This window comes from Homo sapiens, chromosome 19, assembly GCF_000001405.40.
Source record: "Homo sapiens chromosome 19, GRCh38.p14 Primary Assembly".
Taxonomy (NCBI): domain Eukaryota; kingdom Metazoa; phylum Chordata; class Mammalia; order Primates; family Hominidae; genus Homo; species Homo sapiens.
The window spans coordinates 49,028,123-49,040,582 of NC_000019.10; the positions used below are offsets into that span (position 1 = coordinate 49,028,123).

General features: G+C 56.8%; 2 protein-coding genes, 2 non-coding genes and 2 pseudogenes across 6 annotated transcripts; 3 read left to right on the forward strand and 3 right to left on the reverse strand.

Moving 5' to 3' along the window:
* On the forward strand, positions 1,582–2,475 carry NTF6G (neurotrophin 6 gamma (pseudogene); annotated as a pseudogene).
* On the reverse strand, positions 3,547–3,665 carry SNAR-G2 (small NF90 (ILF3) associated RNA G2). The gene has a single exon (NR_024244.1). It is a non-coding gene; the product is annotated as a small NF90 (ILF3) associated RNA G2 (small nuclear RNA).
* A 102-nt stretch (positions 3,666–3,767) lies between these two features.
* On the forward strand, positions 3,768–5,116 carry CGB2 (chorionic gonadotropin subunit beta 2). 2 transcript variants are annotated; one of them, NM_001319065.2, is made up of 3 exons: positions 3,768–4,148; positions 4,382–4,549; positions 4,785–5,116. In NM_001319065.2, the coding sequence occupies exons 2-3, from the start codon at positions 4,409–4,411 to the stop codon at positions 5,097–5,099; spliced, it is 456 nt and encodes a 151-aa protein (NP_001305994.1). In that variant the 5' UTR covers positions 3,768–4,148; positions 4,382–4,408; the 3' UTR covers positions 5,100–5,116. The 2 variants fall into 2 exon arrangements, with proteins under 2 accessions (NP_001305994.1, NP_203696.2); NM_033378.2 differs by having other exon boundaries at positions 3,768–3,982.
* A 2,330-nt stretch (positions 5,117–7,446) lies between these two features.
* Positions 7,447–8,773, reverse strand: CGB1 (chorionic gonadotropin subunit beta 1). 2 transcript variants are annotated; one of them, NM_033377.2, is made up of 3 exons: positions 8,581–8,773; positions 8,014–8,181; positions 7,447–7,778 (listed from the first exon to the last, which is right to left on the reverse strand). In NM_033377.2, exons 1-3 carry the CDS (start codon positions 8,587–8,589, stop codon positions 7,488–7,490), a joined length of 468 nt encoding a protein of 155 aa, NP_203695.2. In that variant the 5' UTR covers positions 8,590–8,773; the 3' UTR covers positions 7,447–7,487. The 2 variants fall into 2 exon arrangements, with proteins under 2 accessions (NP_203695.2, NP_001369350.1); NM_001382421.1 differs by having other exon boundaries at positions 8,404–8,773.
* Positions 8,774–8,897: 124 nt separating this feature from the next.
* Positions 8,898–9,025, forward strand: SNAR-G1 (small NF90 (ILF3) associated RNA G1). Its single transcript, NR_004383.1, has one exon. It is a non-coding gene; the product is annotated as a small NF90 (ILF3) associated RNA G1 (small nuclear RNA).
* On the reverse strand, positions 10,100–11,004 carry NTF6B (neurotrophin 6 beta (pseudogene); annotated as a pseudogene).

Here is a 12,460-nt window from a genome sequence, read left to right on the forward strand (position 1 = left end):
CCTGGGCTCAAGCCATCCTCCTGCTGTGGCTCCTGAGTAGCTGGGACTACAGACTCAAGCCACCACGCCTGGCCACATTCCACAATTTAGAGAAAGTGCACAACCTGGAATCCTAGGGAGACCCCGATTCACCTCAAAACTGCCACTAAGGAGGTAAAACGCTGCCCCTCTGAGGCAGGCTTCAGTTTCCCTGTGTGTGAAATTGACCTGGCGCTGGGAGAGGCTGGTGGAGGCGCGGATTTTGCAGTTTCCCTACAACATTCTGGAAGCCTGTGGTTCTGGGAAAGGTTGGCGTGGAGAAGACTGGGAAACAACCAGTGGTCACCAGAGCTGTAGCACCTCCTCCACCTCCGAGCTCTGGGGCTGGGAACCCCAGGCTTCGGGGCCCCTGTGGAGGACGCAGGTGGCCCCCTCTTTCCTGACATCTCAGGAGAGGGAGGGGCAACCGGCTAGCAGAAGAAAAGCACAGGAAGGTTATACAGCCAGGTGGGGAAGGGGCCAAATCCCTGAACAACCCCTTCCCAGAGTTCCTCTTCAAGTGCAGGGTACCCAAGAGTCAAGGCCCCGCCCCCTTTCCAGAGGCCCCTTTTCTACCCAGGTGATGGGTCCTAGCTGGGATGGGAGGCAGATGGACGGAGGGGAGGGGGGAGGAGGGGAAGGGAGAGGCAGTGGATGAAGGAGGATGGAAGAGATGACATCCCCCTCGGCCCATTCATCCCATTCAGGTCCCCAAGCCGCGCCCCTCTCCGCCCCACCTGCACTGCCAGTGCCAACATCAGAGGGAGGAAGAGGGAGCTCGGCTTAGAAGGCTGAGGCCCTGCCACCTGGGCCACACCGATCACGTGGCCTTCCTTCTCCCCACAGAAGGCCAGACCATGGACACCTCCTGAGCTGGAGGTCATCCTGCATCTCCACCCTGTTTTCTTTTTCTTTCTTTCTTTCTTTTTTTTTTTTTTTTTGAGATGGAGTCTCGCTCTGTCGTGGAGGCTGGAGTGCAGTGGCGCGATCTCTGCTCACTGCAAGCTCCCCCTCCTAGGTTCACTCCATTCTCCTGCCTCAGCCTTCCAAGTAGCTTGGACTACAGGGGCCCGCGACCAAGCCCAGATAAGTTTTTGTATTTTTAGTAGAGACGGGGTTTCACCGTGTTAGCCAGGAAGGTCTCGATCCCCTGACCACATGATCCGCCCGCCTGGGCCTCCCAAAGTGGTGGGATTACAGGAGCGCAGCACCACGCCCAGCTAATTTTGGTATTAACAGTAGAGATGTTGTTTCACAGTGTTGGCCAGGCTGCTTTTGAACTCCTGACCTCAAGTCAAACACCCGCCTCAGCCTCCCAAAGTGCTGGGACCACAGGTGTGAGCCATAGTGCCTGACCTGTAGTTGTTGAATATTTATTATTAATCTACAAGTTGGGTGTGATGCAAGTCCCATACATGGAGTCCCCCAAACTTCTAGAGCAAGGGCTTCCCCATAATCCTGGCAGGCAGGCCTCCCCTGGGGTTCCCAACTTCTGACCTCACTGAAGTGTTTATCCTCTTCTCTAATCCCAGCCTCCTTTTCCCTGTTTCCATGTCCTCTGAGAGATGCTCCCGCTCCCCCAGGCTCCCTCTGCATCCCCCTCATTTGCTTCCTCCCCAGTGTGTCAATGGAGTCCTAACCCCCACCCTTGACATTGTCCCCTTTTCCTCCTCCAGAGTGGGACCTTATTTTCCCCCAAGTGGTCCTGTCTAGGGGTGCCGCTGCCGGGCCCCCTCTGGTCTTCCTGCTGGAGACTGGGGCCTTTTGGGAGTCAGCAGGCACCCGGGCCAACCGCAGCCAGCGAGGGGTGAGCGATACTTCACCGGCGAGTCATCAGGGTGAGCTGGCCGTGTGCGATGCAGTCAGTGTCTGGGTGACAGACCCCCGGACCGCTGTGGACTTGGTTGTGCTCGAGGTGGAGGTGTTGGGTGAGGTGCCTGCAGCTGGCAGCAGTTCCCTCCACCAACACTTCTTTGTCACCTGCTTCAAGGCCGATAACTCTGAAGAAGGTGGCCCAGGGGTAGGTGGAGGGGCTGCCGCTGGGGTGTGGACCGGGGGGCACTGGGTGTCTGAGTGCAAGGCCAAGCAGTCCTATGTGCGGGCATTGACCGCTGATGCCCAGGGCCGTGTGGACTGGCGATGGATTCAAACTGGCACAGCCTGTGTCTGCACACTCCTCAGCCGGACTGGCCGGGCCTGAGACTTATACCCAGGAACTGGTCAGGCAGAAAAAGAACAGAGCTGGATGCTGAGAGACCTCAGGGTTGGCCCAGCTGCTCTACGGACGGACCCCAGTTGGGGAACTCATCAAATCATCGCAAAATCACAACTCTCTGAATTTGAGCTCAATCTCTGTAGGATGGGTGCAACAACGTGGGGTTTTGAAGGTTGAATAGGAGCTCTCCCAGGGGAACTTGAGGGTAATCATGATGATGATGATAATAATAATAGCCACTATTTACTGAGTGTTTACTCTTTCGTAGCCCTAATACATAACTCCTCGGATCAACTCTCATGGATTTGATCATTGGTGACCTTTGGTGTTAAGTTGCTGACTGCTCAGTCACAGAGGACACCACCTTGCTCATCCTGGGGAGTGGGAGGGCACATTTCACGATGTGCATGGGGGAGGAGGGAAACTGGAACATGCAAGCAGATGGCCAGGGGACCTTGAGGACATGGTCTACAGAAGGCCTTTAAGTATCTGGGAGCTGGGGTTCAAATGAGAAATCTTACTTGGTGAGAGTGGGCAGGGGTCGGCTTAGAATATTTTGTTTTGAGATAAAGAGCTACCGATCACACGGGGAGTATAAGCAAGGTTCAATGAGAAGTGATCAGGATGCTGGAGAGTTCAGCCCTGGGCGGGGAGCTCAAGTCAGGTTTCTAGCCCTCTTCCCTGTGCCAACCTATACCCTACACTGGGAAAGAAACAGACCTTAAAATTGTCCAGCTTGATGGCATCGCGGGGAAGGGACTAAGTCCAGATAATGTCCTCTGAGGCTGAGGCCTCGGGGGCAGGACACACCTCCTGCGGGCCTATTCAATAATCAGTTAAATCACCTGAAGCACACGCATTTCCGGGGACCGCTCCGGGCATCCTGGCTTGAGGGTAGAGTGGGCAGAGGTCCCTAAGGGAGAGGTGGGGCTCGGGCTGAATCCCTCGTTGGCGGCACCAGGGTCAAGTGGCTAACCTGGCAGCACAGTCACGGGGAGGCCCTCTCTCATTGGGCAGAAACTAAGTCCGAAGCCGCGCCCCTCCTGGGCGAGGAGGTTCCACCTCCTAGGTTCCTGTGATTCTCCTGCCTCAGCCCGAGTAGTGGGACATCCCACTTGCTCCCGCCATTCTGTTTACCACAGGTGACGACCGCCATGGCTGACAGGCAGGGAGGTCCCCCGAGGACCGAGCAAGCCTCGGTCTCCCAAAAAAAAAAAAGATACATTGAAGTAATTTAAAAACACTTAGGAAGATGTCATTTCTTCCTATCAAGGCGTCCTCCCTTTATGTTTTGTTATTATATAGGGAACGATAAAAAAATTTTTTTCTCAACCAATGTGGACCCGGTTGGCCTCGAACTCGTACCCTCGAACCCTCCCCTCCCTGAGGGCCCGAGGGCACGCGCAACCGGTCGGAGCCACAATAGCTCGGGGTGTCGGGGATCTCCTTTCTTCCTTTTGACCTTACGCAGGGTGATGGAGCCAATCAGGAGAGGCTCACCCCTGACGTCACCCAGTCCCCAGGGCCAGTGAGGGCCCTGCGTTCCGTGGCGCCCCCTGGAGGGAGGAAGGGGAACTGTATCTGAGAGAGAGCAGCCAATTGGGTCCGCTGACTCCGGCCGGGTTCCCGTGCCGCGTCCAACACCCCTCACTCCCTGTCTCACTCCCCCACGGAGACTCAATTTACTTTCCATGTCCACATCCCCAGTGCTTGCGGAAGATATCCCGCTAAGAGAGAGACATGTCAAAGGTAGGGTAGATCGACATTTCCAGGCACCAAAGATGGAGATGTTCCAGGAAAGACTGCAGGGCCCCTGGGCACCTTCCACCTGCTTCCAGGCCATCACTGGCATGAGAAGGGGCAGACCAGTGTGAGCTGTGGAAGGAGGCCTCTTTCTGGAGGAGCGTGACCCCCAGTAAGCTTCAGGTGGGGCAGTTCCTGAGGGTGGGGATCTAAAATGTTGGGGTATCTGAGATCCTCTGGGCTGTGGGGTGGGCTCTGAAAGGCAGGTGTCCGGGTGGTGGGTCCTGAATAGGAGATGCCACGAAGGGTCTCTGGGTCTTTGTGGGTGGTGTACCACGCGGGATGGGAAGGCCAGGACTCGGGGCTGCGGTCTCAGACCCGGGTGAAGCAGTGTCCTTGTCCCAGGGGCTGCTGCTGTTGCTGCTGCTGAGCATGGGCGGGACATGGGCATCCAAGGAGCCGCTTCGGCCACGGTGCCGCCCCATCAATGCCACCCTGGCTGTGGAGAAGGAGGGCTGCCCCGTGTGCATCACCGTCAACACCACCATCTGTGCCGGCTACTGCCCCACCATGGTGAGCTGCCCGGGGCCGGGGCAGGTGCTGCCACCTCAGGGCCAGACCCACAGAGGCAGCGGGGGAGGAAGGGTGGTCTGCCTCTCTGGTCAGGGGCTGCGGAATGGGGTGTGGGAGGGCAGGAACAGAGGGCTTCCTGGACCCCTGAGTCTGAGACCTGTGGGGGCAGCTGGGGAGCTCAGCTGAGGCGCTGGCCCCAGGCACATGCTCATTCTCCCACTCACACGGCTTCCAGACCCGCGTGCTGCAGGGGGTCCTGCCGGCCCTGCCTCAGGTGGTGTGCAACTACCGCGATGTGCGCTTCGAGTCCATCCGGCTCCCTGGCTGCCCGCGCGGCGTGAACCCCGTGGTCTCCTACGCCGTGGCTCTCAGCTGTCAATGTGCACTCTGCCGCCGCAGCACCACTGACTGCGGGGGTCCCAAGGACCACCCCTTGACCTGTGATGACCCCCGCTTCCAGGCCTCCTCTTCCTCAAAGGCCCCTCCCCCCAGCCTTCCAAGCCCATCCCGACTCCCGGGGCCCTCAGACACCCCGATCCTCCCACAATAAAGGCTTCTCAATCCGCACTCTGGCGGTGTCTTTCTGTGGGCTCAGGGCAACCACACACACAGGGTGGGTCCAGCTTCCAAACCATTTTATACAGAGTCACAGTACAGAACTCTGGTAGAAAACAGGGTGGACGGCTGGGCGTGGTGGCTCACGCCTGTAATCCCACCACTTTGGGAGGCCGAGGCAGGCGGATCATGAGGTCAGGAGATCGAGACCATCCTGGCTAACACGGTGAAACCCCGTCTCTACTAAAAATACGAAAAGTTATCCGGGCTTGGTGGCGGGCGCTTGCAGGAGAATGCAGTGAACCTGGGAGCGGGAGGTTGCAGTGAGCAGAGATCGCGCCACTGCACTCCAGCCTGCACGACAGAGCGAGACTCCATCTCAAAAAAAAAAAAAAAAGAAAGAAAGAAAGAAAAAGAAAAGAGGGTGGAGATGGGGGATGACATCCAGCTCAGGAGGTGTCCATGGTCTGGCCTTCCGTGGGGAGAAGGAAGGCCACACGATTGGTGTGGCCCAGGGGGCAGGGCCTCAGCATTCTAAGCCGAGCTCCCTCTTCCACCCTCTGAGGTTGGCACTGGCAGTCCAGGTGGGGGCTTGGGGACCTGAATGGGATGAATGGGCCAAGGGGGATGTCATCTCTTCCATTCTCCTTCATCCACTGCCTCTCCCTTCCCCTCCTCCCCCCCCTCCCACCCCCGGTCCATCTACCTCCCATCCCAGCCAGGAGCCGTCACCTAAGTAGAAAAGGGGCCTCTGGAAAGGGGGCGGGGCCTTGACTCTTGGGTACCCTGCGCTTGAAGAGGAACTCTGGGAAGGGGTTGTTCAGGGATTTGGCCCCTTCCCCACCTGGCTGTATAACCTTCCTGTTCTTTTCTTCCCCTAGCCGGTTGCCCCTCCCTGTCCTGAGATGTCAGGAAAGAGGGGGCCACCTGCGTCCTCCACAGTGGCCTCCGAAGCCTGGGGTTCCCAGCCCCAGAGCTCAGAGGTGAAGGAGGTGCTACAGCTCTGGTGACCACTGGTTGTTTCCCAGTCTTCTCCATGCCACCCTTTCCCAAAACAACAAAACAAACAAACAAAATTGGGCCTGGCGCAGTGGTTCATGCCTGTAATCCCAGCACTTTGGGAAGCCGAGACGGGCGGATCACAAAGTCAGGAGATCAAGACTATCCTGGCTAACATGGGGAAACTCCGTCTCTACTAAAAAATACAACAAATTAGCCAGGCGTCCTGGTGGGCGCCTGTAGTCCCAGCTACTTGGGAGGCCGAGGCAGGAGAATGGCAGGAACCCGGGAGGCGGATCTTGCAGTGAGCCGAGATCGCGCCACTGCAGTCCAGTCTCAACAACAGAGCGAGACTCCGTCTCAAAAAAAAAAAAAAAATTGATTGGAACATCCTCCAAGATGCAAGACTCTCAGTTCCTCAGAGTTCTACAGGAAGGATGGCAGAGTGCAGTTGCCCAGAGTTGAAGTCCCATCTCTGCCATTTGTTGGCTGTGTGACCAGGCACAAATCATTAATTTCTCTGAGCCTGTATTTTACCATCTGTTGCTATTGAGTAATAGTAGTGGACTATTTTCTATTTTTATTTTTATTTTATTTATTTTATTTTTTTTTGAGACGGAGTCTCGCCCTGTCACCCAGGCTGGAGTGCAGTGGCGTGATCTCGGCTCACTGCACCTATGCTTCCCGGGTTCAAGCGATTCTCCTGCCTCAGCTTCCTGAGTAGCTGGAACTACAGGCGCGCACCACCACACCCAGCTAATTTTTTTTTTTTTTTTTAGTAGAGACAGGGTTTCACCATGTTGGCCAGGCTGGTCTCGAAGTCCTGAACTCAGGTGATGCACCTGCCTCGGCCTCCCAAAGTGCTGGGATTGCAGGCATGAGCCACTGCGCCTGGACGAACGTTTTTAATTATATTATTATTATTATTATTATTATTATTATTACTAATTTTTGAGATGGAGCTTTGTTTTTGTTGCCCAGGCTGAAGTGCAATGGCGGGATCTTGGCTCACTGCAACCTCCGCCTCCTAGGATCAAGAGATTCTCCTGCCTAAGCCTCCCAAGTACCTGGGAGTATAGGCATGCACCACCACGCCCGACGATATTTTGTAATTTTAGTAGAGATGGGGTTTCTCCATGTTGGTCATGTTGGTCTGGAACCCCTCACCTCAGCTGATCCACCCACCGCAGCCTCCGACAATTACAGGCGTGAGCCACCACGCCCAGCCGTCCACCCTGTTTTCTACCAGAGTTCTGTACTGTGACTCTGTATAAAATAGTTTGGAAGCTGGACCCACCCTGTGTGTGTGATTGCCCTGAGCCCACAGAAAGACACCTCCAGAGTGCGGATTGAGAAGCCTTTATTGTGGGAGGATCGGGGTGTCCTAGGGCCCCGGGAGACGGGATGGACTTGGAAGGCTGGGGGGAGGGGCCTTTGAGGAAGAGGAGTCCTGGAAGCGGGGGTCATCACAGGTCAAGGGGTGGTCCTTGGGACCCCCGCAGTCAGTGGTGCTGCGGCGGCAGAGTGCACATTGACAGCTGAGAGCCACGGCGTAGGAGACCACGGGGTTCACGCCGCGCGGGCAGCCAGGGAGCCGGATGGACTCGAAGCGCACATCGCGGTAGTTGCACACCACCTGAGGCAGGGCCGGCAGGACCCCCTGCAGCACGCGGGTCTGGAAGCCGTGTGAGTGGGGGAATGAGCATGTGCCTGGGGCCAGCGCCTCAGCTGAGCTCCCCAGCTGCCCCCACAGGTCTCAGACTCAGGGGTCCAGGAAGCCCTCTGTTCCTGCCCTCCCACACCCCATTCCGCAGCCCCTGACCAGAGAGGCAGACCACCCTTCCTCCCCCGCTGCCTCTGTGGGTCTGGCCCTGAGGTGGCAGCACCTGCCCTGGCCCCGGGCAGCTCACCATGGTGGGGCAGTAGCCGGCACAGATGGTGGTGTTGACGGTGATGCACACGGGGCAGCCCTCCTTCTCCACAGCCAGGGTGGCATTGATGGGGCGGCACCGTGGCCGAAGCGGCTCCTTGGATGCCCATGTCCCGCCCATGCTCAGCAGCAGCAACAGCAGCAGCCTCTGGGGCAAGGACACTGCTTCACCCGGGTCTGAGACTGCAGCCCCCAGTCCTGGCCTTCCCATCCCGCATGGTACACCACCCACAAAGACCCAGAGACCCTTCCCGGCATCTTCTATTCAGGACCCACCACCCGGACACCTGCCTTTCAGAGCCCACCCCACAGCCCAGAGGACCTGAGATACCCCAACATTTCAGATCCGCACCCTCAGGAACTGACCCACCTGAAGCTTACTGGGGGTCACGCTCCTCCAGAAAGAGGCCTCCTTCCACAGCTCACACGGGTCTGCCCCTTCTCATGCCAGTGATGGCCTGGAAGGAGGTGGAAGGTGCCCAGGGGCCCTGCAGTCTTTCCTGGAACATCTCCATCTTTGGTGCCCGGAAATGTGGATCTACCCTACCTTTGACATGTCTCTCTCTTAGCGGGATATCTTCCGCAAGCACTGGGAATGTGGACATGGAAAGTAAATTGAGTCTCCGTGGGGGAGTGAGACAGGGAGTGAGGGGTGTTGGACGCGGCACGGGAACCTGGCCAGAGTCAGCGGACCCAATTGGCTGCTCTCTCTCAGATGCAGTTCCCCTTCCTCCCTCCAGGGGGCGCCACGGAACGCAGGGCCCTCACTGGCCCTGGGGACTGGGTGACGTCAGGGATGAGCCTCTTGTGATTGGCTCCATCACCCTGCGTAAGATCAAAGGGAAGAAAGGATGGGCCCGACAACCGGAGCCATTGTGGCTCCGGCCGATTGAGCCTGCCCTCGGGCTCTCAAGGCTAGGCGAGGGTGTGAGGGACTGGAGTTCGAGGTCAACCTGGGCCCCATTGGTAGGAAAAAAAAAAAAAATTTTTTTATCGTTCCCTATATAACAACAAAACATAAAGGGAGGACGCCTTGATAGGAAGAAATGACATCTTCCTAAGTGTTTTTAAATTACTTCAATGTATCTTTTTTTTTTTTTTTGGGATACCGAGCCTTGCTCGGTCCTCGGGGGACCTCCCTGCCTGTCAGCCATGGCGGTCGTCACCTGTGGTAAACAGAATGGCGGGAGCAAGTGGGATGTCCCACTACTCGGGCTGAGGCAGGAGAATCACAGGAACCTAGGAGGTGGAACCTCCTCGCCCAGGAGGGGCGCGGCTTCGGACTTAGTTTCTGCCCAATGAGAGAGGGCCTCCCCGTGACTGTGCTGCCAGGTTAGCCACTTGACCCTGGTGCCGCCAACGAGGGATTCAGCCCGAGCCCCACCTCTCCCTTAGGGACCTCTGCCCACTCTACCCTCAAGCCAGGATGCCCGGAGCGGTCCCCGGAAATGCGTGTGCTTCGGGTGATTTAACTGATTATTGAATAGGCCCGCAGGAGGTGTGTCCTGCCCCCGAGGCCGCAGCCTCGGAGGACATTATCTGGACTTAGTCCCTTCCCCGCGATGCCATCAAGCTGGACAATTTTAAGGTCTGTTTCTTTCCCAATGTAGGGTATAGGATGGCACAGGGAAGAGGGCTAGAAACCTGACTTGAGCTCCCCGCCCAGGGCTGAACTCTCCAGCATCCTGATCACTTCTCATTGAACCTTGCTTATACTCCCCGTGTGATCGGTAGCTCTTTATCTCAAAACAGAATATTCTAAGCCAACCCCTGCCTGCTCTCACCAAGTAAGATTTCTCATTTGAACCCCAGCTCCCAGATACTTAAAGGCCTTCTGTAGACCATGTCCTCAAGGTCCCCTGGCCATCTGCTTGCATGTTCCAGTTTCTCTCCTCCCCCATGCACATCGTGAAATGTGCCCTCCCACTCCCCAGGATGAGCAAGGTGGTGTCCTCTGTGACTGAGCAGTCAGCAACTTAACACCAAAGGTCACCAATGATCAAATCCATGAGAGTTGATCCGAGGAGTTATGTATTAGGGCTACGAAAGAGTAAACACTCAGTAAATAATGGCTATTATTATTATCATCATCATCATGATTACCCTCAAGTTCCCCCGGGAGAGTTCCTATTCAACCTTCAAAACCCCACATTGTTGCACCCATCCTACAGAGATTGAGCTCAAATTCAGACAGTTGAGATTTTGCGATGATTTGATGAGTTCCCCAACTGGGGTCCGTCCGTAGAGCAGCTGGGCCAACCCTGAGGTCTCTCAGCATCCAGCTCTGTTCTTTTTCTGCCTGACCAGTTCCTGGGTATAAGTCTCAGGCCCGGCCAGTCCGGCTGAGGAGTGTGCAGACACAGGCAGTGCCAATTTGAATCCATCGCCAGTCCACACGGCCCTGGGCATCAGTGGTCAATGCCCGCCCATAGGACTGCTTGGCCTTGCACTCAGACACCCAGTGCCCCCCGGTCCACACCCCGGCGGCAGGTCCTCCACCTACCCCCGGGCCACCTTCCTTAGATTTATCGGCCTCGAAGCGGGTAACAAAGAAGTGCTGGCGGAGGGAACTGCTGCCAGCTGCAGGCACCTCACCCAACACCTCCACCTCGAGCACACCCAAGTCCACAGCAGTCCAGGGGTCTGTCACCCAGACAGTGACTGCATCGCACACGGCCAGCTCACCCTGATGACTCACCGGTGAAGTATCGCTCACCCCACGCTGGCTGCGGTTGGCCCGGGCGCCTGCTGACTCCCGAAAGGCTCCAGTCTCCAGCAGGAAGACCAGAGGGGGCCCGGCAGCGGCACCCCTAGACAGGACCACTCGGGGGAAAAGAAGGTCCCACTCTGGAGGAGGAAAACGCGACAATGTCGAGGATGGGGTTAGGACTCCAATGACACACTGGGGAGGAGGAAAATGAGGGGGATGCGGAGGGAGCCTGGGGGAGCAGGAGCATCTCTCAGAGCATCTCTCAGAGCACATGGAGACAGGGAAAAGGAGGCTGGGATTAGGGAAGAAGATAAACACTTCAGTGGGGTCAGAAGTTGGGAACCCCAGGGGAGGCCTGCCTGCCAGGATTATGGGGAAGCCCTTGCTCTAGAAGTTTGGGGGACTCCATATAAAGGACTTGCATCACACCCAACTTGTAGATTAATAATAAATATTCAACAACTACAGGTCAGGCACTATGGCTCACACCTGTAGTCCCAGCACTTTGGGAGGCTGAGGCGGGTGTTTGACTTGAGGTCAGGAGTTTGAGAGCAGCCTGGCCAACACTGTGAAACAACATCTCTACTGATAATACCAAAATTAGCTGGGCGTGGTGCTGCGCTCCAGTAATCCCACCACTTTGGGAGGCCCAGGCGGGCGGATCATGTGGTCAGGGGATCGAGACCTTCCTGGCTAACACGGTGAAACCCCGTCTCTACTAAAAATACAAAAACTTATCTGGGCTTGGTCGCGGGCCCCTGTAGTCCAAGCTACTTGGAAGGCTGAGGCAGGAGAATGGAGTGAACCTAGGAGGGGGAGCTTGCAGTGAGCAGAGATCACGCCACTGCACTCCAGCCTCCACGACAGAGCGAGACTCCATCTCAAAAAAAAAAAAAAGAAAGAAAGAAAGAAAAAGAAAACAGGGTGGAGATGGAGGATGACCTCCAGCTCAGGAGGTGTCCATGGTCTGGCCTTCTGTGGGGGAAGGAAGGCCACATGATCGGTGTGGCCCAGGTGGCAGGGCCTCAGCCTTCTAAGCCGAGCTCCCTCTTCCTCCCTCTGACGTTGGCACTGGCAGTGCAGGTGGGGCGGGGTGGGGGGCGCGGCTTGGGGACCTGAATGGGATGAATGGGCCGAGGGGGATGTCATCTCTTCCATCCTCCTTCATCCACTGCCTCTCCCTTCCCCTCCTCCCCCCTCCCCTCCGTCCATCTGCCTCCCATCCCAGCTAGGACCTGGGTAGAAAAGGGGCCTCTGGAAAGGGGACGGGGCCTTGACTCTTGGGTACCCTGCACTTGAAGAGGAACTCTGGGAAGGGGTTGTTCAGAGATTTGGCCCCTTCCCCATCTGGCTGTATAACCTTCCTGTGCTTTTCTTCTGCTAGCCGGTTACCCCTCCCTCTCCTGAGATGTCAGGAAAGAGGGGGCCACCTGCGTCCTCCACAGTGGTCCCCGAAGCCTGGGGTTCCCAGCCCCAGAGCTCCGAGGTGGAGGGGGTGCTACAGCTCTGGTGACCACTGGTTGTTTCCCAGTCTTCTCCACGCCAACCTTTCCCAGAACCACAGGCTTCCAGAATGTTGTAGGGAAACTGCAAAATCCGCGCCTCCACCAGCCTCTCCCAGCGCCAGGTCAATTTCACACACAGGGAAACTGAAGCCTGCCTCAGAGGGGCAGCGTTTTACCTCCTTAGTGGCAGTTTTGAGGTGAATCGGGGTCTC

Excerpts from the sequence above, each read along its gene's own strand:
- CGB2 (NM_033378.2), top strand. Across the intron at positions 4,550-4,784 it reads CCGGCTACTGCCCCACCATG|ACCCGCGTGCTGCAGGGGGT; the intron begins GTGAGCTGCCCG and ends CACGGCTTCCAG.
- CGB1 (NM_033377.2), bottom strand. Across the intron at positions 7,779-8,013 it reads CCGGCTACTGCCCCACCATG|ACCCGCGTGCTGCAGGGGGT; the intron begins GTGAGCTGCCCG and ends CACGGCTTCCAG.